The 24,539-nt window shown below is 41.3% G+C and overlaps 1 protein-coding gene across 6 annotated transcripts in view; it reads right to left on the bottom strand.

Moving 5' to 3' along the window:
• USP13 (ubiquitin specific peptidase 13) overlaps positions 1-24,539 on the bottom strand; it is a 136,362-nt gene that overhangs the window by 19,236 nt on the left and 92,587 nt on the right. For 4 of the 6 annotated variants that reach the window (NM_003940.3, XM_017007426.2, XM_017007425.2 and 1 more), the window contains 6 exons: positions 17,793-17,881; positions 15,312-15,434; positions 13,088-13,114; positions 8,911-9,054; positions 5,998-6,164; positions 4,318-4,471 (listed from right to left, as the gene is read on the bottom strand). In NM_003940.3, the coding sequence (NP_003931.2) occupies positions 4,318-4,471; positions 5,998-6,164; positions 8,911-9,054; positions 13,088-13,114; positions 15,312-15,434; positions 17,793-17,881 (704 nt within the window). The remainder of the gene's footprint in view (positions 1-4,317; positions 4,472-5,997; positions 6,165-8,910; positions 9,055-13,087; positions 13,115-15,311; positions 15,435-17,792; positions 17,882-24,539) is intronic. The other 2 variants (XM_011513269.2, XM_047449154.1) reach the window with 1 other exon arrangement.

The following is a 24,539-nucleotide window of genomic DNA, read 5'->3' as shown; positions in this document are numbered from 1 at the left end:
AGCTGACAACCTCAATAAAAGTGGGAAACTGGCCAAAGGAAATAAGCTGTTAACACGAGAAGAAAAATAACTAGGCAATAAAGATACAAAAAATATAAAAAGCACTCAACCAAAAGCACTGCTGGGGAACGTTGGGGAAACCGGAAAGTCACCAGTGTGACCAGGATGTGGCCCCCTGCTGTGTTTGTGGAGAGTCACGTGATGGTAATCTGCATTAAAACCTTAAAAATATGTATTTTTCACTCACAAACTTCCCTTCCAGAAACTTCCCTTAACAAATAATCAAATGAAGGCCCAAGGCTGTTTATCACAATATTATTTTTAGTAGAAGAAGGAAAGAAGGAAGGGATGGAAGGAGGAAAATGCTGAACAAGCTTTTATTCCCTGGATAGGGATTACATTAGGCATATGCTGTACTTCTGTGAATTGAATTCATCCTTTAAGAAACTCATTATTTGGCCAGGCGCAGTGGCTCACACCTGTAATCCTAACACTTCGAGAGGCAGAGGTGGGCAGACTGCCTGAGCTCAGGAGTTGGAGACCAGCCTGGGCAACATGGCGAAATTCCGTCTCTACTAAAAATACAAAAAATTAGCCAGGTATGATGGTGCATGCCTGTAATGCCAGTTACTCGAGAGGCTGAGGCATGAGAATCACTTGAACCCAGGAGGCAAAGGCTGCAATGAGCCAAGATCATGCCACTGCACTCCAGCCTGGGGAACAGAGCAAAACTCTGTCTCAAAAAAACCTCATTATTTAAAAATCATAGTGGTCATCTTCTGAATGTGGAAATATCTTCATTATTTGAAACTCTTTCTGTAATAATGTGGTCTTTTATTTAAATGATACCTAATTAACCTAGAATTAGGTATATAAACTATGGTACATGTTTATAATAGAATATTGTTAATATATGTTCAACAATATAGATGTATATACATGTACACCTACATAACTCACAGGCTAATCATAGCCTCATCACATGTTAATCACATGTTAATTACATTAAAGGAAAAGCAAGTCACAAAATAGCAATGTATATATAGAATAGAATGTTATATTTAAACAACCTTAGATTTATATTCATTTTTATACATTTGTCTAAAAAGGTCTAGAGAATATAAACAAAACATTATTTTGTCATTATTGCCGGGGAGTAAGATTGTAATTTTTAATTTTGTCTTTTCATATATCTATATTTCCTTAAGTTGCTAAAATTAATATATATCCTTCAATATAAGTGTTAATTTTTTTACAAAGGAAAAAGAAAGCAACAACTCACAATATGAGTTTGTGTGCTAATATAGTAAAGTACAGGAAGTCATGTTTTCCCCTCCCTTTGATTCATGCAATGTAACATAGTAGTATACTGCCAACCCCTCTATATAGAACTTTGTGGAAGCAGCAAAAATGCTATCAAAGTCTATTACCTCCTGGCATTCACTTAATTCTTCATTCAATCAGTTATTTGCTGATCACTCACCATGGGCCAGGCACAGTGCTGGGGAAGCTACTTTGAAAACATTTGTGGTTCTGTAAAATCAAACTCAAAATGCATTTGGCAAATTAGGTTTCTGTTTTCTGTCTTCATAATTAAATGTTTCATCTACTACTGCCTTTATATCCTGCATATCTTGCATGCGATTTCTAAGTGCATCTCATAGTGCTCCTTCGCTACTCTCACCCTCAATCCCTTGGTTGACCCATAGTGCCTTAAAGGGTACCTGGCAGCATCCTATTCAAGGATGCACCTCAAAATCCAGCAGTGGCAGGAATATCTACAGATCACTCTGAGGTAGAGTAAGCCCTGAGGAGATGATGTGGCTGTTCTTTATCATTACTGACCATCTGTGAGAGAGTGGCTGCTGCCTCCGAGCTCCATCAGAAGAAAGGAAACCCTAAAGATCAGACCCGCCTTCCCTCTGCAGCCAAACCTTGGCAGCTTTACAACAGCCCCATCTTGTGGTTAATTCCTTCCGCAGGGACTCATCCTCTCCAAGGAAATGCCCATTATGGAAAATCAATGAAGCAGTGAACTGATGGATGTGTAATAAGTGATAAATCCTGCTCATACATTATTGAGTAACCTGTCTGTTACAGCTTTAAATATTTTAGGCAAGCTAGTAATTTCTGAAAAGTAATACCAGATACTTTAAATGAGTATGGAAATTGGGAGAACGACATCTCATCCTTTCTTATCCAGTTGGCATTGAAACAGTTTCAGTGATGAAATTCCTATTTTATATTAAAAAAAAGAAGAAGACAGTTCCCTCCCACCGTCTCTTTCTATCTGTATATGAATACGTACATGTTAGGTCTGGAAAGAACATTAATGAGTAAATCTGCCACTATATGATTATAGGAACAAATGCTGCTAGTGTAGATTTAGTTAAATACAACTGTTATTTACTCAGTACTTTCTATGTGTCTAGCACCATGCTAGACACCATGAGTTTTATAAAAGCCAAATGGCCTCTGCCCTGGGCAAGCTCCTAGTCAAATGGGAGACACAAATACCTACAGAAGTAATTTTATTGCAAGATCAACTTGATACCTCCAACAACAGAAGAACTAACAAGGGAGCGTGGTGGCCCAAACCTGTAATTCCAGCTACTCGGGAGGCTGAAGCAGGAGAATCGCTTGAACCTGGGAGGTGGAGGTTGCAGTGAGCCAAGATCGTGCCACTGCACTCCAGCCTGGGTGATGGAGTGAGACTCTGTCTCAAAAAAAAAAAAAACCAAAAAAAACTAACAATGCATTACAGTGGCTACAGGCACAGGCTCTGGAGGCAGACTGCCTGCACTGGAATTGTGGTTCTATCCATCACTAGCTATGAGACCTTGACAAGCTATTACTTAGCCTTCTCTATCTCAGGTTCTTCACCTGTAAAATGGGGATAATAATGGTATGTACCTCATAAGGTTACTGTGAGGATTAAAGATGGCACAAATGGGAGTATTTTTCATACTGGTATAATTATTGCTAGCATATGAGGTAAGCATGAGCTGATTATGACAAGGATCTAGGAAGGCAGTCCAGAGAAATGGAATCTGTGGCCAAGTTCTAAATAATGATGAGAATTTTAGTGTGCAGTGATGGGAGAGAAGGCTCATTTCACAAATAGGGGTTAACCTGAGTCTGCAGGTTAAGTGAGAAGAGAGTTGTTGACAGCTGAGTAGGCTAAGAGTGTGGCTACAGTCCCAGGCATCTCAGCTGCAGGTATAGGGAGTATAGAAGTGACACTGGGAGACCAGGTGGCCTGGATCTGACTGGAGGAGGTGCTGAATGCCAAGCTAAAGAGCCTGAATGTTATTCTACAGGCAATGACAGCCCAAGAAACAGGATATCACAAAGGTTAAGAACAAGGATTCTGGGTTTGAATCTTGGCTCCATCTCTTAAGAGCTGTGTGGCCTTTGGCAAGGTACCCAAGCTCTCTATGCTTATATTTTCTCACCTGTAAAATCAGTTGTAGTGAGAATTACATGAGTGTTGATATGCAAAGTGCTTAGAACAGTGCCTGGCACATAGTGACATACATAAGTGTTTGCTATTAAAAGGCAGAACAACGGCCTATGGCGCCTCTTCCTGTCATCCTGAGACACCCCTTCAGGATATTATTAGTAGTTGGTACGGGTAACGATATGATCAAGGATGAGACCACTTTGCTACTACTCAAAAAACACTACCATGAAAACAAATGTTCTCTTTTTGACAAAAGCTCCCATGGTCCATGAAGAAATTTTACCTCAAAGGAACAGACAAAATCAAAGTTGGCCCTAAACTTGGGCACAAACATGACCAAGCAACATGATTCTGACATGACTTTATCAGATCACCGGGGCCTATGCAAAGTGGCAAACTGCACCATTTCTAAGAAGATGGGATCTGGCCAGGCATGGTGGCTCATGCCTGTAATCCCAGCACTTTGGGAGGCCGAGACAGGCATATCACGAGGTCAGGAGATCAAGACCAGCCAGGCCAACATGGTGAATCCCCGTCTCTACTAAAAATACAAAAATTAGCTGGGTGTGGTGGCACATGCCTGTAATCCCAGCTACTCGGGAGGCTGAAGCAGGAGAATGGCTTGAACCTGGGAGGCGGAGGTTGCAGTGAGCCGAGATCGCGCCACAGCACACCAGCCTGGCAACAGTGTGAGACTCTGTCTCAAAAAAGAAAAAAAAAAAAAACGAAGAAGATGGGATCTGTGCTAACTTTTGAATGATGGCAAAGGCTTGACTATGTTGTGGTGGGAGGGAAGGGCATGAGCTGAACGTATAGTTCTGACTGCTCAGACAGCCTCTAAGGCAAGAACTTACTTCCAGATCCATCCTTGACTCTAGGTCCTTCGGGCTTGGCCTCAGAAATAATGTTTGCATTGGCATTATTCTCCATCTCAATCACAAAATCACTGTCTTCTTCAAACTCAGGGTGGCTAAAGATCCAATCCAGTGCTCTTTCCAGGTTATTATTCTAACAACAAAAAAGAAACAGATGTTTTTACAATGCATGCAGCCTCAGGCCTCACTATGTCCTGACCATTTCAACTAGATGTCAGGCAGATAGGGAAGGAGGTCTGAATTAATTAGTCCTAAGTGCCACTGAGTAAGAAGCTCTGACTCCGCATGACAGGCACGTTCAGTTGGCATGGCATTCTGCAAGTCTCCCAGCTGACATCTGTAATTGGATTCACTGGAAAAGAGTTCTAAGCAGCAGATCAGCATTCCAAAGTTTATATCAATGTTAGCTCAGCTTTTCTGCAGGAAGATGCTGATAATAATAGGTGTGGAATAACCAAGGGTATGGCATTTGTTTAAGTGCAGCTCTTTCTAAAGCCACTTTAATTGCACACACTACCTTCTCTACCAACTGTATTTTCTGCAGATAACTGAACAATAGAGGGATGCCAGTGTGGTATTATGTTAGAGCCTTCTCTCCTGGAATGTTGGTAAAATGTTTGAATTCCAGTAAAGACAAGATTAATATCTTGATTAATGACAACAACACTGATTAGTTAAGTATAATTGTTTAAACTGAACTCCATGTACTTCAAACTAATTGACCATAAAAATATTTCCATCTTTCTCAGCTTGTGATATTTCTGGCAGGTTAAAGAATTTGTATAGATATAAAACCTCTAATGAAACAGTCAGGCAAATAAAATGAGTGGAGCACAAGAAAGTACCCCAAGTAAAACAAACTCTGGTTGAGATATTTTAATCATCTTAAAGGGAGACAGGTTGTCCTAGCCACATCCTCATGAGACAATCAAGAGCCACTGTGACCTCAGCAACGGATCCTAGCAGGCACCCCATCAGGATAGGCAAGAAGTAATTGAGAGCAGATATCTACTCAAAAATGGATTATGGTGTGACCAGGAAGGATGGGTTTTGTTTTGTTTTTTAAGTACCTTCCCTCAAGATTAAACAGATATCAGCACTGCAGAAGGGAATTGTCTACCCTGTAGTTTCAGAGTCCCTTGTTTCTTGGTATCAAGAAGTTCATGGCTACCAGAAGAACCTTCTCTTTCTGCAGAGAGAAACAGCAGCAGAGAATTCCAAGGAGCCATTCAGTTTTCTATGAGGACTTTTAAGAGACATTTACCCAAGGTCTTGGTATCAGAAAAGCATTCTATCTCCTAAAGGACTTCTTACTGAACATGGAATTTCATGCATCCCTCTTTCCTCTAGGGCCACAAGCAGCCTCCAAGTCAAATTTCTGACCCCCTGTTAACAAACATTCAAGATGATATCAAGTTTCTTTCAGTTTGCTCATATTACCCCAGATTTATTTATCTCATTCGCTGTGTGAAAATCATTCATTTTAGCTTTATATTTATAATATGCAAATAAATCTTTATGGGCTATGATGAGATTCACAGTTAGATGAATCAAACATGAATCAAAATGATCAAAGTACATTGGAAAGTCTCAACTGCTACAGAAATAAATTCACACACACACACACACACACACACACACACAGTCTCTCATGCTCACCGTTGCTCGTAGTGCCTGAATAGCCTGATTTCGCTGAAATCCCATGGAGGTGATGATAGCTACGATTTCCTCTGGAGGTTGGTTATCCAGTCCAGAAGCACCAAAAACAGAGGCTCCAGCAGAAGCTGCCCCTCCATAACCAGGCATGGTCAGCGGCTCAGCAAAATCTGAGAAAAATAACCACACCCAAGTCTTTTCCTTTTTTTTTTTTTTTTTTTGTCCTGAAACAACACTAACAAGGAAAAACATGATTCTACAAAGTTATAATAATCAAGACAGTCTGGGCCAGGCGCAGTGGCTCATGCCTGTAATCCCAGCACTTTGGGAGGCCAAGGCGAGTGGATCGCCTGAGGTCAGGAGTTCGTGGCCAGCCTGGCCAACATGGCAAAATCCTGTCTCTACTAAAAATACAAAAATTAGCAGGGCATGGTGGTGCACACCTGTAATCCAGCTACTTGGGAGGCTGAGGCACAAGAATCGCTTGAACCCAAGAGGCGGAGGTTGCAGTGAGCTGAGATTGCACCACTGCACTCCAGCCTGGGCAAGAGAGCAAGGCTCTGTCTCAAAAAAAAAGACAGTCTGGTACTGGTATATAGGCAGACATATGGATCGATTAAATAGAATTGAGATTCCAGAAATAAAACCATATACCTGTGGTTAACTGATTTTCAACAAGACCATTCAGTGGGGAAAGGACATTATTTTCAACAAATGATGCTGGGACAACTGGATATCCACATACAAAAGAATAAAGTCAGACCCTCACCTCACATCATACACAAAATTAACTCAAAATGGCTCATTGACCTAAATATAGGAGCTAAAACTATAATAATCTTAGAAGAAAACACAGGAGTAAGTCTTTGCCATTGGATTAGGCAATGGTTTCTTATTTACAACACAAAAAGCACAAGTGATAAAAGAAAAAAAAGATAAATTGGACATCATCAAAATTAAAAATGTTTGTGCTTCAAAGGATACCATCAAGAAAGTGAAAAAACACCAGAATGGGGGGGAAAACACAAATCATATATCTCATAGAAACTCGTATCTGGAATTTGTAAAGAACTCTTAGAACTCAATAATAAAAGGATAACTTCATTAGAAATGGGCAAAGAATTTGAATAGACATATCTCCAAATAAGATATACAGTCAATAAACATACGAAAAGTTGTTCAACATCATTAGTCATTAGGAAAATGCAAACCAAAACCACAAGATACCACTTCATACCCACTGGGATGGGTATGATAAAAAAGATAATAATAAGGGTTAGTGATGATATGGAGAAATTGGAACTCACATTCATTACTGGTGGAAATGTAAAATGGTTCAGCCACTGTGTAAAACAGTTTGGTCGTTCCTCAAAATTAAATATAGAGTTACCATATGACATGGCAATTCCACTCAAGAGAAGTAAAAATAAATGTCCATCCACACAAAAACTTGTAAAAAATGTTTATAGCAGCATTGTTCATAAAAGCCAAAAAATGTAAATAACCCAAATGTCCATGAACTGATAAAGATTAATAAAATATAGTATACCCATAAAATAGACTATTATTATTGTTATTATTATTATTATTTTAGATGGAGTCTCACTCTGTTGCCCAGGCTGGAGGGCAGTGGCGTGATCTCAGCTCACTGCAACCTCCGTCTCCTGGGCTCAAGCAATTCTCCTGCCTCAGTCTCCCAAGTAGCTGAGACTCCAGGTGCCCGCCACCATGCCCAGACAATTTTTGCATTTTTAATAGAGATGGGGTTTCACCATGTTGGCCAGGCTGGTCTTGAACTCTTGACCTCAAATGATCCTCCTGCCTTGGCCTTCCAAAGTGCTGGGATTACAGGCGTAAGCCACCAAACCCGACCCAACAGACTATTATTTTACCGTAAAAAGGAATGAAGTACTGACACATGCTACAACATAGATGAATCTTGAAAGCACTATGCTAAGTGATAGAAACCAAACACAAACGACCTTTTATTATATGACTCCATTTATATGAAATGTCCAAAACAGGCAAATCCCTTGATCCAGAAAACAGATTCGTGGTTGCCAGGGGCTGGGGTGAGCAGGAAAATGGGGAGTGACTGCTATTATGTATGAGATTTCTTTTGAAGGGTACAAAATGTTCTAAAATTTGATAGTGGTAATGGTTACACAACTGTGAATTTATGAAAAACCATTGAAATGTACACTTTAAACAGATGAATATATGCATTATAGCTTAATAAAGTAGATAAAAGAAAAAGCTAACTAAACATCCTCCATTTCTTCATGCCCATGTTTCCATTTCAAATTTTCATCATCGCTTAGTTAGAAGTATATCCCGTATCTTTCTATTGGTCTTTTTGCCACTGACTTATACACTTTAAAGGGATGAATTATATCTCAATAAAGCTGTTTGGGGTTTTTTTTGTTGTTTTTTTGTTTGTTTGTTTTTTTGAGACAGAGTCTCGCTCTGTCACTCAGGCCAGAGTGCAGTGGTGCAATCTTGGCTCACTGCAGCCTCCGCCTCCTGCGTTCAAGCGATTCTCCTGCCTCAGCCTCCTGAGTAGCTGGGACTACAGGTACGCACCACCATGCCCAGCTAATTTTTGTATCTTTAGTAGAGATGGGGTTTCACTATGTTGGCCAGGATGGTCTTCATCTCTTGACTTCGTGATCCGCCTGCCTTGGCCTCCCAAAGTGCTGGGATTACAGGCATGAGCCCCCACGCCTGGCCTAAAGCTGCTGTTTTTAAAAAAAAAAAGAAGAAGAAAAAGACTGGCTTTCTCCTCCACTGCAGGAGATTAGGAACTATAAAGTCATTTTCTAGGGATACATCCACAGGGACCTTGGAAGGACCAGGACTCAGCATCACTGAGGGTCACATCAGACTCCAAAGCCATTCCATTTTCTCGCCACCTACCTGGCTCTTCCATGTGAACAATGATCCAGTTGAAGGCCACCTCGGCGCCCATATTTCCAGTGAAGTACACAGCCTTGCGACATGCTTCCAGCGGGAAACCCATCTCGGCCAGCTGCATCACTGATGACTCATCGATGTCTGATGCTACAGAGCACAACAGGATATTCTAGTGTGAAAGAGGAAACTGTCGCTTCTTGTCTTAGCTACTCTCCACTCTCCTATCCACATGCTACCCAAAGAAAGTGCTATTCTGTTGGGTGTAGATAATGGTTTTACTTTGTTTAGTTTTGTTTTAAGCCACACAAATATTAAAGCTATTTGGGCTAAGTTTATATCTTTGACCCACATAGGAACCAGGTTAATTACCTGGACAATGCAAGCAATGAAAAACGATTCTCTAATTTCATATGGGGAGATTTAGTGTATTCCCAGAACGATTTCAGAGCATTCTCAAGACCTCTATGACAGCCTCTCCTATGACTGAAACTTGAACAGAAAGCTCTATCTACAGGCCTAAAAGCCTGTTCCTTAAACCTCACAGAAAGTTACTGCAGGCCTATAGATACATCTGGCAATCACAGGAAGCAAGCAGCTCTGGAAAACGGAGAGTGCAAATGTTAAGTATAGAAGGAAAAAGTTCGTTTTTTAATTATACAAGCTTAAAACATTAAGAGGCCAGGCGTGGTGGCTCACGCCTGTAATCCCAGCACTTTGGGAGGCCGAGGCGGGCGGATTATGAGGTCAGGAGATCGAGACCATCCTGGCTAACACGGTGAAACCCCGTCTCTACTAAAAATACAAAAAATTAGCCGGGCGTGGTGGTGGGCACCTGTAATCCCAGCTACTCGGGAGGCTGAGGCAGGAGAATGGCATGAACTCAGGAGGCGGAGCTTGCAGTGAGCCGGGATAGCGCCACTGCAGTCCAGCCTGGGCGAAAGAGTGAGACTCCGTCTCAAAAAAAAAAAAAAAAAAACATTAAGAGACGGCTTTACAAAGTAACTTGGGCTCAGATACAGAGGCTTTTGTTTTCTTGTGTTAATAACATATAGATACTGATAGAGATGTATGTGTAAATCTGTGTGTATGTATAGATACATACACATACACACTGTTCTCAAATTACACCAAAAGAGGAGAAAAAACAGGAATATAAAATATATCCCTTGGGTTTTCCATGTCCTGAGGACTCTACTAAAACTTCTGTCAATTTTCTGTCAATCAGGAAAAGAACCGAGAAGAGAAATAGCTGTTCTACAAAAATTTTGTATTGAAAATGCATTTACCAGGTGGGTGCAGTGGCTCACGCCTGTAATCCCAGCTCTTTGGGAGGCCGAGGCAGGTGGATCACAAGGTCAAGAGATGGAGACCATCCTGGCCAACATGGTGAAACCCCATCTCTACTAAAAATACAAAAGTTAGCTGGGGGTGGTGGCGTGCACCTGTAGTCCCAGCTACCTGGGAGGCTAAGGCAGGAGAATCGCTTGAACCCGGGAGGCAGAGGTTGCAGTGGGCTGAGATCGCGCCACGGCACTCCAACCTGGTGACAGAGTGAGACTCCGTCTCAAAAAAAAAATGCATTTACCAAAGTGCTCTCTTACAAGGAAGATACATAGAACATCCTATCCAGGTCAAATGTTCAGAAAACAATAATGTTGGACAACAGTGATTCCCAAATTGTGTTCTACAGGATCCTAGTATTCTAAGAGATGTAACCATTGAATCAAAAACGGAGTTTCTGTGATCAGATAAGTTTTTAAACCTACATAGTCTATCCTCTCCTTAGAAATTCATGATGTGCATTAGCACAGTGAAGACTCAAAAGTTCTGTAATAAAGAATCCTATAGTAAAGAAACTATGAAACTCTGCAGGGCACCTTTCAACAACTTTTAAGACTTTAGTCTTAAAAGATATATAGATAGAGATATAATCTCAAACATACATGTTTATAATATTAGACCAGAAATACATAATTCCGGCTGGGCGCGGTGGCTCACGCCTGTAATCCCAGCACTTTGGGAGGCCAAGGCGGGCAGATGACGAGGTCAGGAGTTCGAGACCAGCCTAGCTAACATGGTGAAACCCCATCTCTACTAAAAATACAAAAAATTAGCCAGGCGTGGTGGTGCACACCTGTAGTCCCAGCTACTCGGGAGGCTGAGGCAGAAGAATTGCTTGAACCCGGGAGGCAGAGGTTGCAGTGGGCCGAGGCTGTGCCACTGTACTCCAGCCTGGGTGACAGAGTGACACTCCGTCTCAAAAAAAAAGAAATGTGTAATTCCATTTTTGTGAAAAATAAAGTGAGCCAGGCACAATAATAGAAGGATATACTCCAAATGTCAACAGTGGTTATAGATGGGTGATGGAACCATGGATGATTCTTCTGCCTACTCCATAATCTCTAAATGACTTTTTACTTTTGTAATGAGAAAATAAAGTTATTCTTTTAAAAATTTTAAGGGCCGGGCGCGGTGGCTCACGTGTGTAATCCCAGCACGTTGGGAGGCCGAGGCGGGTGGATCACGAGGTCAGGAGATGGAGACCATCCTGGCTAACACGGTAAAACCCCGTCTCTACTAAAAATACAAAAAATGAGCCGGTTGTGGTGGCAGGCGCCTGTAGTCCCAGCTACTCGGGAGGCTGAGGCAGGAGAATGGCGTGAACCCGGGAGGCGGAGCTTGCAGTGAGCCGAGATCGCGCCACTGCACTCCAGCCTGGGTGATAGAGCAAGACTCCGTCTCAAAAAAAAAAAAAATTTAAGAAAGGTAGGATGCAAATGTCAGTTCATGACAGATAGTTTTATTTTCTCCTGATTGTTGGTAAGACAGCATGCTTAGATCCAGGAGGAAATAAATGGCCAAATCAGCAACACTAAAAAATGGCTGCATGCTCTCACCGTCAGAGGCAGGCTCCTCTGGCACAGTTAATTCCAAATGCCCATCACTTCCCATGGAGTGAGATCCTGCAGGCCAGCTCTCCACAGCATCAGGCGCAACCAGCAAACCTCTCACATGCCAGGATAGTCTAGTGGCATGAGAAGCAAGGTAACTCCTAGCCCTAGTTCTGGTCCCAGGTCTTCGGTCTCCAAAACTTCCTAGATCTAGGAAGTTTGATCCTCTATAAAATGTCACCTGCTTTGCCCTTCCTACCATGATATGGGACCTTTTTTATAAAAAGTAGAGTTGTAGACCTGTCCCAGTGAGATCTGGGACCTTGTTTTATAAAAAGTAGAGTTGTAGACCGTTGAAAGAATTTATGGAACAATAAATGCTAAATGATCCATGGTAAGCATTCAAAAACTTTAGCAGTGGCTATTACAATTAGATTATTCGCAGTGGGAACAGTATGTCCCAGGCTACCCATTGTCCTACCAGGTTGCATGTGAAGATCATGGCAGGCTGACCCTTGCTGACTCTAATTACTCCTCTAACAATCGGCAAAACATAATTGTTTCAAGAAAGGAGACATAGAGGTCTAAGCTACATGATCAATCATTCGCAATGTGTAAGATTCAGATTCCTAAATTAATATTAGTTACTGTCTTGAAAGACTTTACAGACCAAAAGATTTAGAGTATCTAGTGTTAAATGCTTTCTCTTTCTCCTAGTTAATATCTAAATATTGTCTATCGTTTATTTTTTATGTTCTTTGTAGAAAACCAAGAGTATCAACTCCCACAGGATTAGGAACTAAAAGGCTATAAAATTAACAAACAATCCAATCAAACTAATATCCTTGAGAGCATTAATTAACACTATTGTGTCCTGTCAGCTATGTGTCTTCATTATGTGTCTGACAGCAGGATAGGAAAAAGTGACTGACCACTGTGCCACCATTGCACAAAGAGGTCTACTCAGTAGCCATGGCTAGCCCCATTCACACATGAGGAAACTGGGGCTCAGAGAAGGTAAGTAAATTACTCCAGGTCACACAGTCATAAACCACAGGCCAAGATTCTGACCCAGGGCTAGTTAGCTTCATGCTAATGGTCACTCTCCTGAGCCCCATGGGCCACCTGATCAGCATGTCACTGACTAGCAGACACAGAGCCGTTCCCACCTGGGAAAAGCTGCACACACACACGTACAGAACAATGCCTCTTTACTGAACTTTCACAGACAAATTCATCAGATTAATAACAACAGTAGGACATTGAGAAACATTTTTAAAGATACATACGGTCTATCAATTGGTTCATCAGGCGATCTGGAAATTAAGGGAGAGGACAGAAAATGAGACCAAACCATGTTGAGGAGTTTTAGAAAAAAGAAAACCCATTGATCCAGGGCATTTCCAATGCCCTCCCCACTCCTGGGGACCACACACTGTTGTCAATCCCTCAACCACACGCAGACCACCCCAGCCTCAGTAATAAGAGAAAGTAATAGCTTTCAGGCGTTTAGGTTAGTTAAAACATGATGCTTTGATTATTATCCTAACAAACTACTATTTCCCTATTATGTCTCTATTATTTTTTCTTTAAAAAAAACTTTTTTTTGGAGACAGTGTCTGACTCTGTTGCCCAGACCCAGAGGGTGGTACAGCAATCATGGCTCACTGCAGCCTCGACCTCCTGGGCTCAGGTGATCCTCCTGGCTTAGCCTACTGAGTAGCTGGAACTACAGGCACATGTCACCAGTCACCACGCCTGGCAAACTTTTAAATTTTTTATTTTTTGTAGAGACAGTGTCTCACTATGCTGACCAGGTTGGTTTCAAATTCCTGGGCTCAAGTGATCCTCCCACCTCAGCCTCCCAAAGGGCTGGGATTACAGGCATGCACCACTGCGCCCAGCCTCTCTCTGTATTTTTTGTTTGTTTGTTTGTTTGTTTGTTTGTTTGTTTTTTTGAGACAGGGTCTCGCTCTGCCGCCAGGCTGGAATGCAGTGGCGCAATCTCGGCTCGACTCCCTGGTTCAAGCGATTCTCTTGCCTCAGCCTCCTGAGTAGCTGGGATTACAGGCAAGTGTGGCCACGCCCAGTGAACTTTCGTATTTTTAGTAGAGGTGAGGTTTCACCATGTTGGCCAGGATGGTCTTAATCTCCTGACTTCGTGATCTGCCCGCCTTGGCCTCCCCAAGTGCTGGGATTATACATGTGAGCCACCGCGCCTGGCCCTCTCTGTATTTCTAAGATCTCTGTATAACTACAAACCAAAGATTCTATTATGAACATCAGAGAGAGCTGGAGCAGTACTAATAAACCATCTTGTATTTATCTGATGCCCATGCTGATCCTTCTTTGACCCCTTTAATGAACCACCTGTACTACGTGACCTAGAATGTCCCTTCTCTGCTCTTTCTCTATAATTTAGCATTTGACCCAGCGTTAGAGAACAACATAATACAGATGCCTATCTGAATCCTATCTTGCTCCTTCTAGACTCATCTTACCCTTCCTTTATACCTGACCATGGTCACCTTCACTGCTTAACTGATGGAAAACCTTTAGCAGAGGGTCCCAGAGTGCTCTGTCGTTATGAGTTAATCTACTCATTAGGAAGATAAACAGTAAACAGGTGAGCAAACAAAGCCAGAATGAAACTGATTTCATCAGGATAACTGAGCTAATAGTTAAACCAAGATTTTTCTGACACTGTTTTTGAACTCACAAAGGTGAGACAACTATTTTTGGCATATCCTTTTCCATTAAAAAGTTATGAGGCTGGGCACAGTGGCTCACGCCTGTAATCCCAACACTTTGGGAGGCTGAGGCGGGCAGATCACGAGGTCAGGAGATCGAGACCATCCTCGCTCACAAGGTGAAACCCCATCTCTACTAATACTACAAAAAAAAAATTAAGCAGGCATGGTGGCACGCGCCTGTAGTCCCAGCTACTCGTGAGGCTGAGGCAGGAGAATTGCTTGAACCCAGGAGGTGGAGGTTGCAGTGAGCCGAGATCGTGCCACTGCACTCCAGCCTGGGCAACAGAGCAAGGCTCCACCTCAAAAAAAAAAAAATGTTATGTGTTCTGAACAATGACCAGTGATGGGGTCACAGAGTCAAAGAGAAACTCAAATCTCTTCCTTTCTATGATGCAGTAAAAAAGCTGGGGAGGTGAGATGCCATCACAGTTTTAAAACCAACTCACGCTGTTCAATTTCCCCTTTAGGTTGTCCAAAGGTACTCCCAAGAATGACACAGCTTCCCTAGACTAAGAGCCTACAAAAAAAAACTGTCCATTTCAACCACACATGATGGGTCTGTGCCTCTTACAATGTCTATTTTATGTTTACCATTGCAGCCATGCCTCCCTCCTGTGTCGGTGGTGGGTTACATCACAGCAAGGCAGCTAGACCACCAATGGGTGGTGGTGGTAGCAGCAACACAGTGGTGGAAGAAAGAGACTGTTCCTATAGAACAGGGTGGGAGGGTAGCGCATATTCTCCTGGCAGGAGATGGTACCTTTTGAGTCATCAGGAATGACTATGGGGGGGCTGATGTCTGGAAGTTCTTCCTCTCCTGGCTGTAACCCCCTGGCTCGGAGATGGTTGATATCAAGTAGGTCTGGCATATCAATAGAAACATCTGCAAAATGAGAGAGATTATATCCACTGGGCTCTCCATAATCACCTTATTATAATACCAGCACTATAACTCTACATGCATGTGTCTAGACAGAGCTAAGGGATGTTTTTCAATTCCCTAGAATATGTTGCTCGACCAGCAGGTTCATGAAGACTAACCAGATATTAGTGGAGAACCCAGGGAAAAATACAGTGGGTGGCAGGATTTCACCCCAAACAAGAGCAAATCATTTAAGCCTGAGGTTACAAATTGGCAGCCCATAGACCATGTGTGGCCCAGACACAATCTGTTTGATATTTTAAAAGTGTGGACAACAAATTCCAATGTTTAAATCAGAAGATTTAAGGTAAAATCCAGATTTCCAGCTTATTTTGAAAAGCATAAAGCTGTAGCACATTCTCATATGGTAACAACCATCGGGAGCTGATCTTCAGTTTCTACCCTAGACAATGGTGCAATGTTAGTCTGACACAGACCCCACTGCTCCTTGTTGCTCCCTGAGCATCATATTTGTGCTACTCTGAGTCTTATGGCAGTTTTTCTAGTTCATCTTTTTATTCAAAGTGGGAACACCCAAGCAAGACCAAGATAGCTAGCTACAAGCCTCCTATACTCAGCCCAGTTCTTTCATTTAGATTACCCTGTCCTTGTTAGGCATTTGAGTTTGCAACCCCATTTGATGATGCAACCCGTTCTCAGATCATGATGGGTACTGTGGATATTCTAACTAAGATATTGAATAAATAATGAAGTTTTAAAGAAATTAATTGAATCTCAAGTGTATTATCTTTACAGTACTTTTTTTAACTTCTTGGCTCTGTTATTGTGTTGACTTATTCAAATACAAAATTTGTCAGACTAATACCCTGTCAAGATTTAGTGCTGCACATATTCAGATGATAATAATGAAAAATGGGTTCAAATATTGGTACAGGATACATCTTTTGGGCTAGCAAACAACCTGAAAATACTGTCCCCAAAATCAGTTATGATACCAGGTACATAAATCCTACTTTAAAACAACAACCCAAAGAACAAAGCTTAGTTTAAAAAAGCAAATTTAAATTTCAGGGGGCAGCAAAACCAAACATAAAAACTCACCATCAAAATCAATACAACTGCTCCTTAAGAGAAAAATTCAGGTTCATTCAAGAACATTTTGAGGTTCCTTAAAATTCAGCAAGTCAATGAAATATGATTCAAATTTTGTATTCCTTTACAGAAATTCCAAGGACAAATAAAATAAGCAAACTATTTCCAAGGCAATTCAAAGCCTTCAGAGCCAGAAAGTTTTTTCTCTCAGGTGCTTTTCAGGTCCATGGAAGAAAAGCTGAGTGGTCAGCATCCTGCCCTCTGCCTTCCCCTGCTCACAAAACTATTCTGCCAGGAAAAGGGAGGATCTCCTGCAGGATCAGTAACAGCCCAGCACAATTTCACGTGGCAAACAAGTGCTGCGTAACTGTTAGTGCCGGAGGTCTCTAGGAAATCACTCCAGCCGATTCTACATCCTTTTTACCTATCCCCTTCAGACGAGTGCTTAGTTAACCAGCGTAAGATTGAGTTGGGTTTTTTCTTAAGTACTTAAAAACATAAAAACTTTAAAAGACTGGCAAATAGTCCAAGGTTCTTGCTTGAGAAACTGTACATTCTTCCACACCACTGAGGACAACCTAGTAACACCCTTTGTATTAGATCTTAATGCTGGAGAAAGGCTTTTATGTATCGTCTGGAAAATTAACCTCTAACAATGGTCAGGAACTTTAAAAATTAGCACGAAGAAAGCCTCATGAAGCCAAAATCACATCCTTTTGTTTTACTGTCTAATGCAACTGGCTTTTTTTCTACTTTATTAAGTGAATGTCATTAGCCACACCTGCCTGCTCAGAGGCAGAGGAGAGATCCTATGAGGAGACTGCATCTTCAACCACTGGCTGCTCAAAGTGTGGCCTGTGGGCCAGCAGCACCAACAGCATCAGCATCACGTGGGAGCTTGTTAGAAACACAGAATCACAGGCCCACTCCAGACCTGCCCAATCTGCATCTGCATTTTAACCAAGATCCCAGATAATTCATATGCACATTAAAGTTTGGAAAGCACTGTTTATTTGACAATGTGAGGATTCTGTTTACACTCTTAGAATTTGGTCATTCCAGAAACCATAACTGGAGGGGTGGGTAAGCAGATGGCAATTTTTATTGTCAGTTCTTATCATATACTCTGATTCAAAACAGAAAGGTGAGAATGATGGAATGAAATGGAACTGTTTGTGGCAGCCAACTACATGGGCTCTTTCACATGCCATGTTGTTTAAATGGCTCATTTGATGTTTTAAGCAAAAGCACGCAAAAGATACCTACCAAATTTTTTGGGAACCCAGTCAAGACCAAAAGTGAACTTCTTTATCTGCACTACCAAGTATTCAGGGAATGAAGCAAAGCGAGATGTTCTGGGAAACACAAGGGGATATATCAATGAAACAAGGCAATAAGAATTGTGAATACAGTTCAAAAAGCATATCAACTTTGTCTGAGGCACACCTGGCCATTCCAATGGCTGAACTGAAGAGGAGGAACATGCAAACACAGACATGTAAGTGGACACACATTCGCTCTCCCCTGCTCATTTGTCCTGGCCTCTTCACAAGAAGAAAATGTTTAATGTAGAATGTTATCGTTTAAGAATGCTTTTGGGTAGGTGCGGTGGCTCACGCCTGTAATCCCAGCACTTTGGGAGGCCGAGGTGGGCAGATCACCTGAGGTCAGGAGTTCAAGACCAGCCTGGCCAACATGGTGAAACCCCGTCTCTACTAAAAATACAAAAATTAGCCAGGCACAAAAATACAAAAATTAGTGGGGATTGGGGCACGCCTGTAATCCCCACTCGGGAGGCTGAGGCAGGAGAATCACTTGAACCCCAGAGGCAAAGGATGCAGTGAGCTGAGATCATGCCACTGGACTCCAGCCTGGGCAACAGAGTGAGACTCCATCTCAAAAAAAAAAAGAATGCTTTTGGACCTGTTTCAAAATTGTTACTTTTACTTTGCTGTGGTGTTCTATATTTCTGAAAAGTGCTTTTCAACCATTTATTTTTTCTGAAATCCTTGCTAGAGTTTAGTATACATAGTTTTAACTGTTTACAGCATGCATGCTTGGTATACATGTATGTGGGGTTTGAAAAGTCTCCCCAGGTGATCCTGAAACACCCCCACCTCCACTTCCACTTCCACACAGAGTCACTGTCTTATAGCGCAGAGTTGGCGGACGAAGGGCTTACTGCAACTTTGGCTGAGGTTGACTATTGGAAATGCCAGGGCCTCATTAAAATACTGCGGTACTTAATCCATGGCCACATGGATCCTAGGGGTAGACATATTATGGGATAAGTATCCAAAAAATCTGAATCTGGGCCTTGAAGTTTAAAATTAATACACATTACCAGTATCTTGAATCCTCTTCAAACTTTCAGAAAGGCTCAATTTCCTGGGCATGGATTTGGCAATTTTATACACAGACTGTTCAACCTGTACACCAAATTCATACCCTAGTTCCAGCTCATTCACTCCACATTTATCATTTTGTTTTTAACAACCATTTCTATTTGTAGTCAATGTGGGTGTGGTAGGTATATGTAAAAAAGAAAATGAGCTGTTTATAGGTATCACAGATACCTTTTAAAATAAAAAATTCTAGAATATCCTCCCCTATTCCACTTTTCAAATCTAAGTCACTGCCTTCTATTTGTAATGCATCTTCTGTTAGAAAACAAATGCAAATGTATTGCTTCCCCCTAGTGTCAGAGAAAAGGCACAGCGCAGGGACAGAACACGGGGCAAAAAACAGTCAAACGATGTGGATGTGGGTCTTGAAAATGCCACTTCATTCACTCCAAATCTGGGCAAACCACTGACACTCCCTGATCCATCTACAAAATGGACTTACTAATCATGTCTACCTGCCAGGCCGTGCAATGTTCATGAAATGATGTGAAACCGCTTGGCGCACTAGAAAGTATTGTATATACCTAAGGAATTAGCATGATTATTTTGTCATGAAAGAGGTAAAAGCTATAAAGCCTTGGATGCTGAATTGAACTGTCACTTATCTGTATTTTACCTCCAGGCAAGTTATTTAAATTCCCTGTATCTCAAATTCTCCATTACAAAGTTGGTAGAAGAATAAAGGCAATTCAGAAAACAGGAGCTTTATCATCCCAAGCAACTAATCTACTATTAGCCAGGCTCACTCTCCAGAAATTATATATTATCTCTAATTAGGTTTTTCTATCTTCTGAGAAGCAGTAATACACATTATTCTTATTTAAATGTCACCAAGTCCTCAACTGCACCAAAAAAACAACAAACTCTGTCTGATATTTTATATATATACATATATATATATATATATACACACATATATATATATATATACACACACATATATATATTTATTATTATTATTATTATTTTGAGACAGAGTTTTGCTCTTGTTGCACAGGCTGGAGTGCAATGGCGTGATCTCGGGTCACTGCAACCTCTGCCTCCCGGATTCAAGTGATTCTCCTGCCTCAGCCTCCTGAGTCGCTGGGATTACAGGTGCCTGCCACCATGCCCAGCTAATTTTTGTATTTTTAGTAGAGATGGGGTTTCACCATGTTGGCCAGGCTGGTCTCAAACTCCTAACCTCAGGTGATCCACCCACCTTGGCCTCCCAAAGTGCTGGGATTACAGATGTGAGCCACGGCACCCGGCCATGATATTTTAATGTAAAAATGTTCTTTTTCTTACCTACTCTTCCTACCATATTAGCTTAAAATCTGGAAAATACATAACAGTGAAATCAACCAAAAGACATTGGTAAACCAATAATTTCCAAAATATGACTCAGGATCCCTGAGACTCTTGAAGCTGCTCTGTGGTCAGTATCTAGGCGGAGTGTTAGCTGTAATACCATAATAGCGGTAGTGGAATAACTCAAGGTTGGGGCAGGGATAATTTAACACATCACTGTGTTATAGGTAGCCGCCAATCTAAAAGTACCAGAAAGTAGATTTAGATGGTGTTCACATAATATTTGCCCTATTGGGTAAAACATTCTTTATTCATCTTTGTAATCTCTATAGGGTCTCAAGTTGAATCGCTCACATGTAGTAACTGTTCAATATATATCTGTTCAAATCAATCTCAAAAGTTATGCTTTGCATTCATTTATTGCAGTTTGGGGACATCAAGTTAGTTAAATCTAGCACAGTTATAAATTATGCTCAGCTTATTCTTTTATTTCTAAAATTAATTTCTGGAATTAAAATATTTCTTGAAAAATGATATGTTTTAAATAAAGATCATTAGAATGTAAATCATTCAAAGAGATCTAGATAGACAGCAAATTTTCTTCAAAGAGCTGTTATGGGAATTAAATGATTTAAGACATATAAAGTGCTTAGAATATGTCCCAACAACAATACTGTGTTGTTGTTAACAACCTGTTAGCATTATTTAAAATATATTGATTGTTCACTAAATCACAATTAAGGCAAAAATACGATAAAGATTTTATTGAGAAAGAAATATAAACTGTACCTCTTCCTGACATTAAGACATTAAGATGTCTACAGTATTGAAAACCTAACAACTAAAAAAAACCATAATCTTCCTGTCTACTGGTTGAAAATATGACCATTAATCCACCACACTCAAATTATATCATCAAAGACAAAAAAACGAAGATAAACATAACAGAAATAACAACTCCATCCTATATTTGCCCTGTGTGAAGCACTTTACATGGCTTATCTCACTTAATCCTTACCCCAACCCTGTAAAGAAAGTACCATTATTATCCCCAGTTTACAGATAGGGAAGCTGGGCTTATGGCAGTGAGATCACTTGGCCAAGGTTGCATACCAATAAGTTCTAGACTGGGCATTCAAACATTGGGCATCTACCTAGAGTCTGTGCTCTGCAACCCCACACTATGCTTTTCTCTTTATAAATGAGAATGGGTAAGTAAAAATCTCTCCCTCTCAACTCTTCATCTGTGAGCTCTCTGAGGGCAGGAATTAGGTCTTGTTCAACCCATTGCCTAGAATATACTAAGTGAGCAATAATATTTGCTGGGTGAATAAACTTTCCAAGCACTAATATTCTTCCCAGACATGGTCTGTTCATGATCATTTAAGAGAAGGGTCTTAAGGCCTGGCCCATACTGATGCAAGATCCGCCAAGATCTTTAGGACATTTTTTGCCTCTTCCTGGTCTTCAGGCTCTGGGTGTAACAAAAGAAAAACCCAAGGCCCCAAATTAACAAAACATAGACTGAATCACAGCCTACATTGCTGGAAATAAAAATAACATCTCTTAGAAATCCACTGAACTGGTTTTCTCAAAACTAATATTTGAAACATGATAAAGCATAATACAGAAAAAGCAAGGCTCTACAAAAATGTAAGGATAAGCAAGCATGACAAGGAATATGGGGGTGCTTGATAGCAGGCATTTAGAGTTTGAACTCAATCAGACTGGAATGAATCCCATGCCTGCCACTTACTGGCCAATTACTTCTTTTATTTCTTCCTTCATAAAATGAGAAAATAATGGGACCTACCTCAGACTACTAAGAGGATGAAATATGATAATTGATGGGAAGTGCTTAACACATGACCTGGCAATAACAAATGTGCAATAAATGATAGTTGCTTTATTACCTTTAACATCATCTTTTTCTTTCCCACAAGGACCAGTTTTCAATTACTAACAACTGGATACACCCAGTACTAATTCTTCTCATGTATATAAAAGGCACATGCAAGAGCATGTGTGTATGCAGACAAAAAGGAAAAGGTAAAAGCTCCTTGTAAGAACTATAGGAAGCAGAAACCCCTCCTCCAGGATTCTAGATAGATATGCTAGCACTGCCTACAACTGAATATTTTGTAGCATCTGAGGAGAAATTCAGGAGAGCATCATTTCTCCATTACAGATGGAATCACTGGGCGGTGACTTTGCCCCAGGACAGAAGCTAACGTGGAAGGTAGACACAGGAGAAGAATCCAGGTCTCCTGACCACTAGCCCTGGGCTCAGGGAATCTGCCTCTCTGTGGAAAGCTAATGCCTCTCAGTCCCCATTTTAAAGATGGGCCATTTCCAGGTGTTGAAAAGGCTGCTTCCTAGCAGGACACTTCTAGGGAGAGGCAGGCACAGACAGTGTGTCACATCCTGCACTTCTAAGACACCAGGCCCCTTTTCTGAAGAGCAGAAAGGGGTGGCCGAGGGCCAGGCAAGTGAACAATACCCCAGTCGGCAGCTCACACCTGATGCTGGGGATTTCGAAGCTTCCAGACCCCACAATCACCTTCCACCTCCAAAATGGAATCACAACAAAAGCACAAAGAGAAAAGGATAAATGTTCGAGGAATCAGTCTTAAACCTACTGTCAATGATTTTAAAAAATTGCTTCCATCACTAATAGAGTGTGTAGAGGTCTAACTGCCCAAAGATATCTCTGAGTTGTAATAAATTATCTCTCACACTGAACTTGAGAACTCAACAACTGTTATCTGCAAGGACACAAACAGGCACATGCACATGTGCACACATACACAACATACACACACACAACCACCCACACCTACAACTGAGCAGTCCTAGGATAAAAACTCACTTAGTGATGGGCAACTGATACCTGAATGAACTACTATTAATCTCCCTTGGATAGGGAGCTTTTTAAAAATAATTTTAACAAATATGGCTTGTTTTTCCTTTTTGAAATAAATTGTTTTTGCTTTCCTGTTTTTAACATATGAACTCTACAATCTGAAACATAGCAGAAGCCTGAGGGAGGGGTTTCACAGAGAACAAATAATATAGGTTGAGGCCGGACATGGTGGTTCATGCCTGTAATCCCAGCACTTTGGGAGGCTGAGGAGGGCAGATCACCTGAGGTCAGGAGTTCCAGATCAGCCTGGCTAAATAGTGAAACCCTGTCTCCACTAAAAAAACAAAAATTGGCTGGGTGCGGTGGCTCATGCCTGTAATCCAGCACTTTGGGAGGCCAAGGAGGGAGGATCACCTGAGGTTGGGAGTTCGAGACCAGCCTGACCAACATGGAGAAACCCCATCTCTACTAAAAATACAAAACTAGCCGGGCATGGTGGCACAGGCCTGTAATCCCAGCTACTCGGGAAGCTGAGGCAGGAGAATCACTTGAACCTGGGAGGCGTAGGTTGTGGCAAGCAGAGATTGTGCCACTGCACTCCAGCCTGGGCAACAAAAGCAAAACTCCGTCTCAAAAAAAAACAAAAAAAAATATACAAAAATTAGCCGGGCTTGGTGGCATGTGCCTGCATTCCCAGCTACTCAGGAGGCTGAAACAGGAGAATTGCTTGAACTTGGGAGGCAGAGGTTGCAGTGAGCCAAGATCATGCCACTGCACTCCAGCCTGGGTGACAGAGCGAGACTCCCTCTAAAAAATATATATAATACTTATATATATTATATGTATATATATAAAATTTTATATATATACATTTTATATATAAAATTTTATATATATATATATAGGTTGAACTGCTATTGAGGCCATGGTAAAAACAGCCCACACCAGCCGTTCCATCCTTTAATCCCCTTTATGTTAGCCAAAATCTCAATCTTAGCCTCAAAGAAAAATGGCCAAAGAATATCTGAACGTAGCAAAACTCCTGGAGCCAAACTTTCAGACCTCCCTTTGTTTTATGCCACTGCAAGCACTCTTTTTCCAATTAAGTGCAGTGATATGAAGTGTGTTGGCAAGGACTCGACTGCATCAAATCAACTAGGGTGGCAGACGGAGAAAAAAAAACTTTTATGTGTCTGACAACCAGCCTCACAATGTGAAAACAAGACATCTGACTAAACCCTGAGCGGCTCGTTTCAACAATGCTCAGGAGACTTCCTGTCCACTTTGAGATGTCCTGAGACTCCTAGTCTCCAAGGAGAAACATAGCCAACCAAGTTCTAGACTAAGTCTTTAATTATGGAGTTAAAATATAGCACAATGGAGTTTAAATATGGAGGCCTGTCTTCAGCATTTTTGTAATTTCTTCATGAATAATGTCATTCTTGCCATTTGCGG

The sequence above is a fragment of the Homo sapiens genome, chromosome 3, assembly GCF_000001405.40.
Source record: "Homo sapiens chromosome 3, GRCh38.p14 Primary Assembly".
NCBI classification, from domain to species: Eukaryota; Metazoa; Chordata; class Mammalia; order Primates; family Hominidae; genus Homo; species Homo sapiens.
Note: the sequence above shows the minus strand (reverse complement) of the source record. Positions and strands in the feature narration are given on the sequence as shown.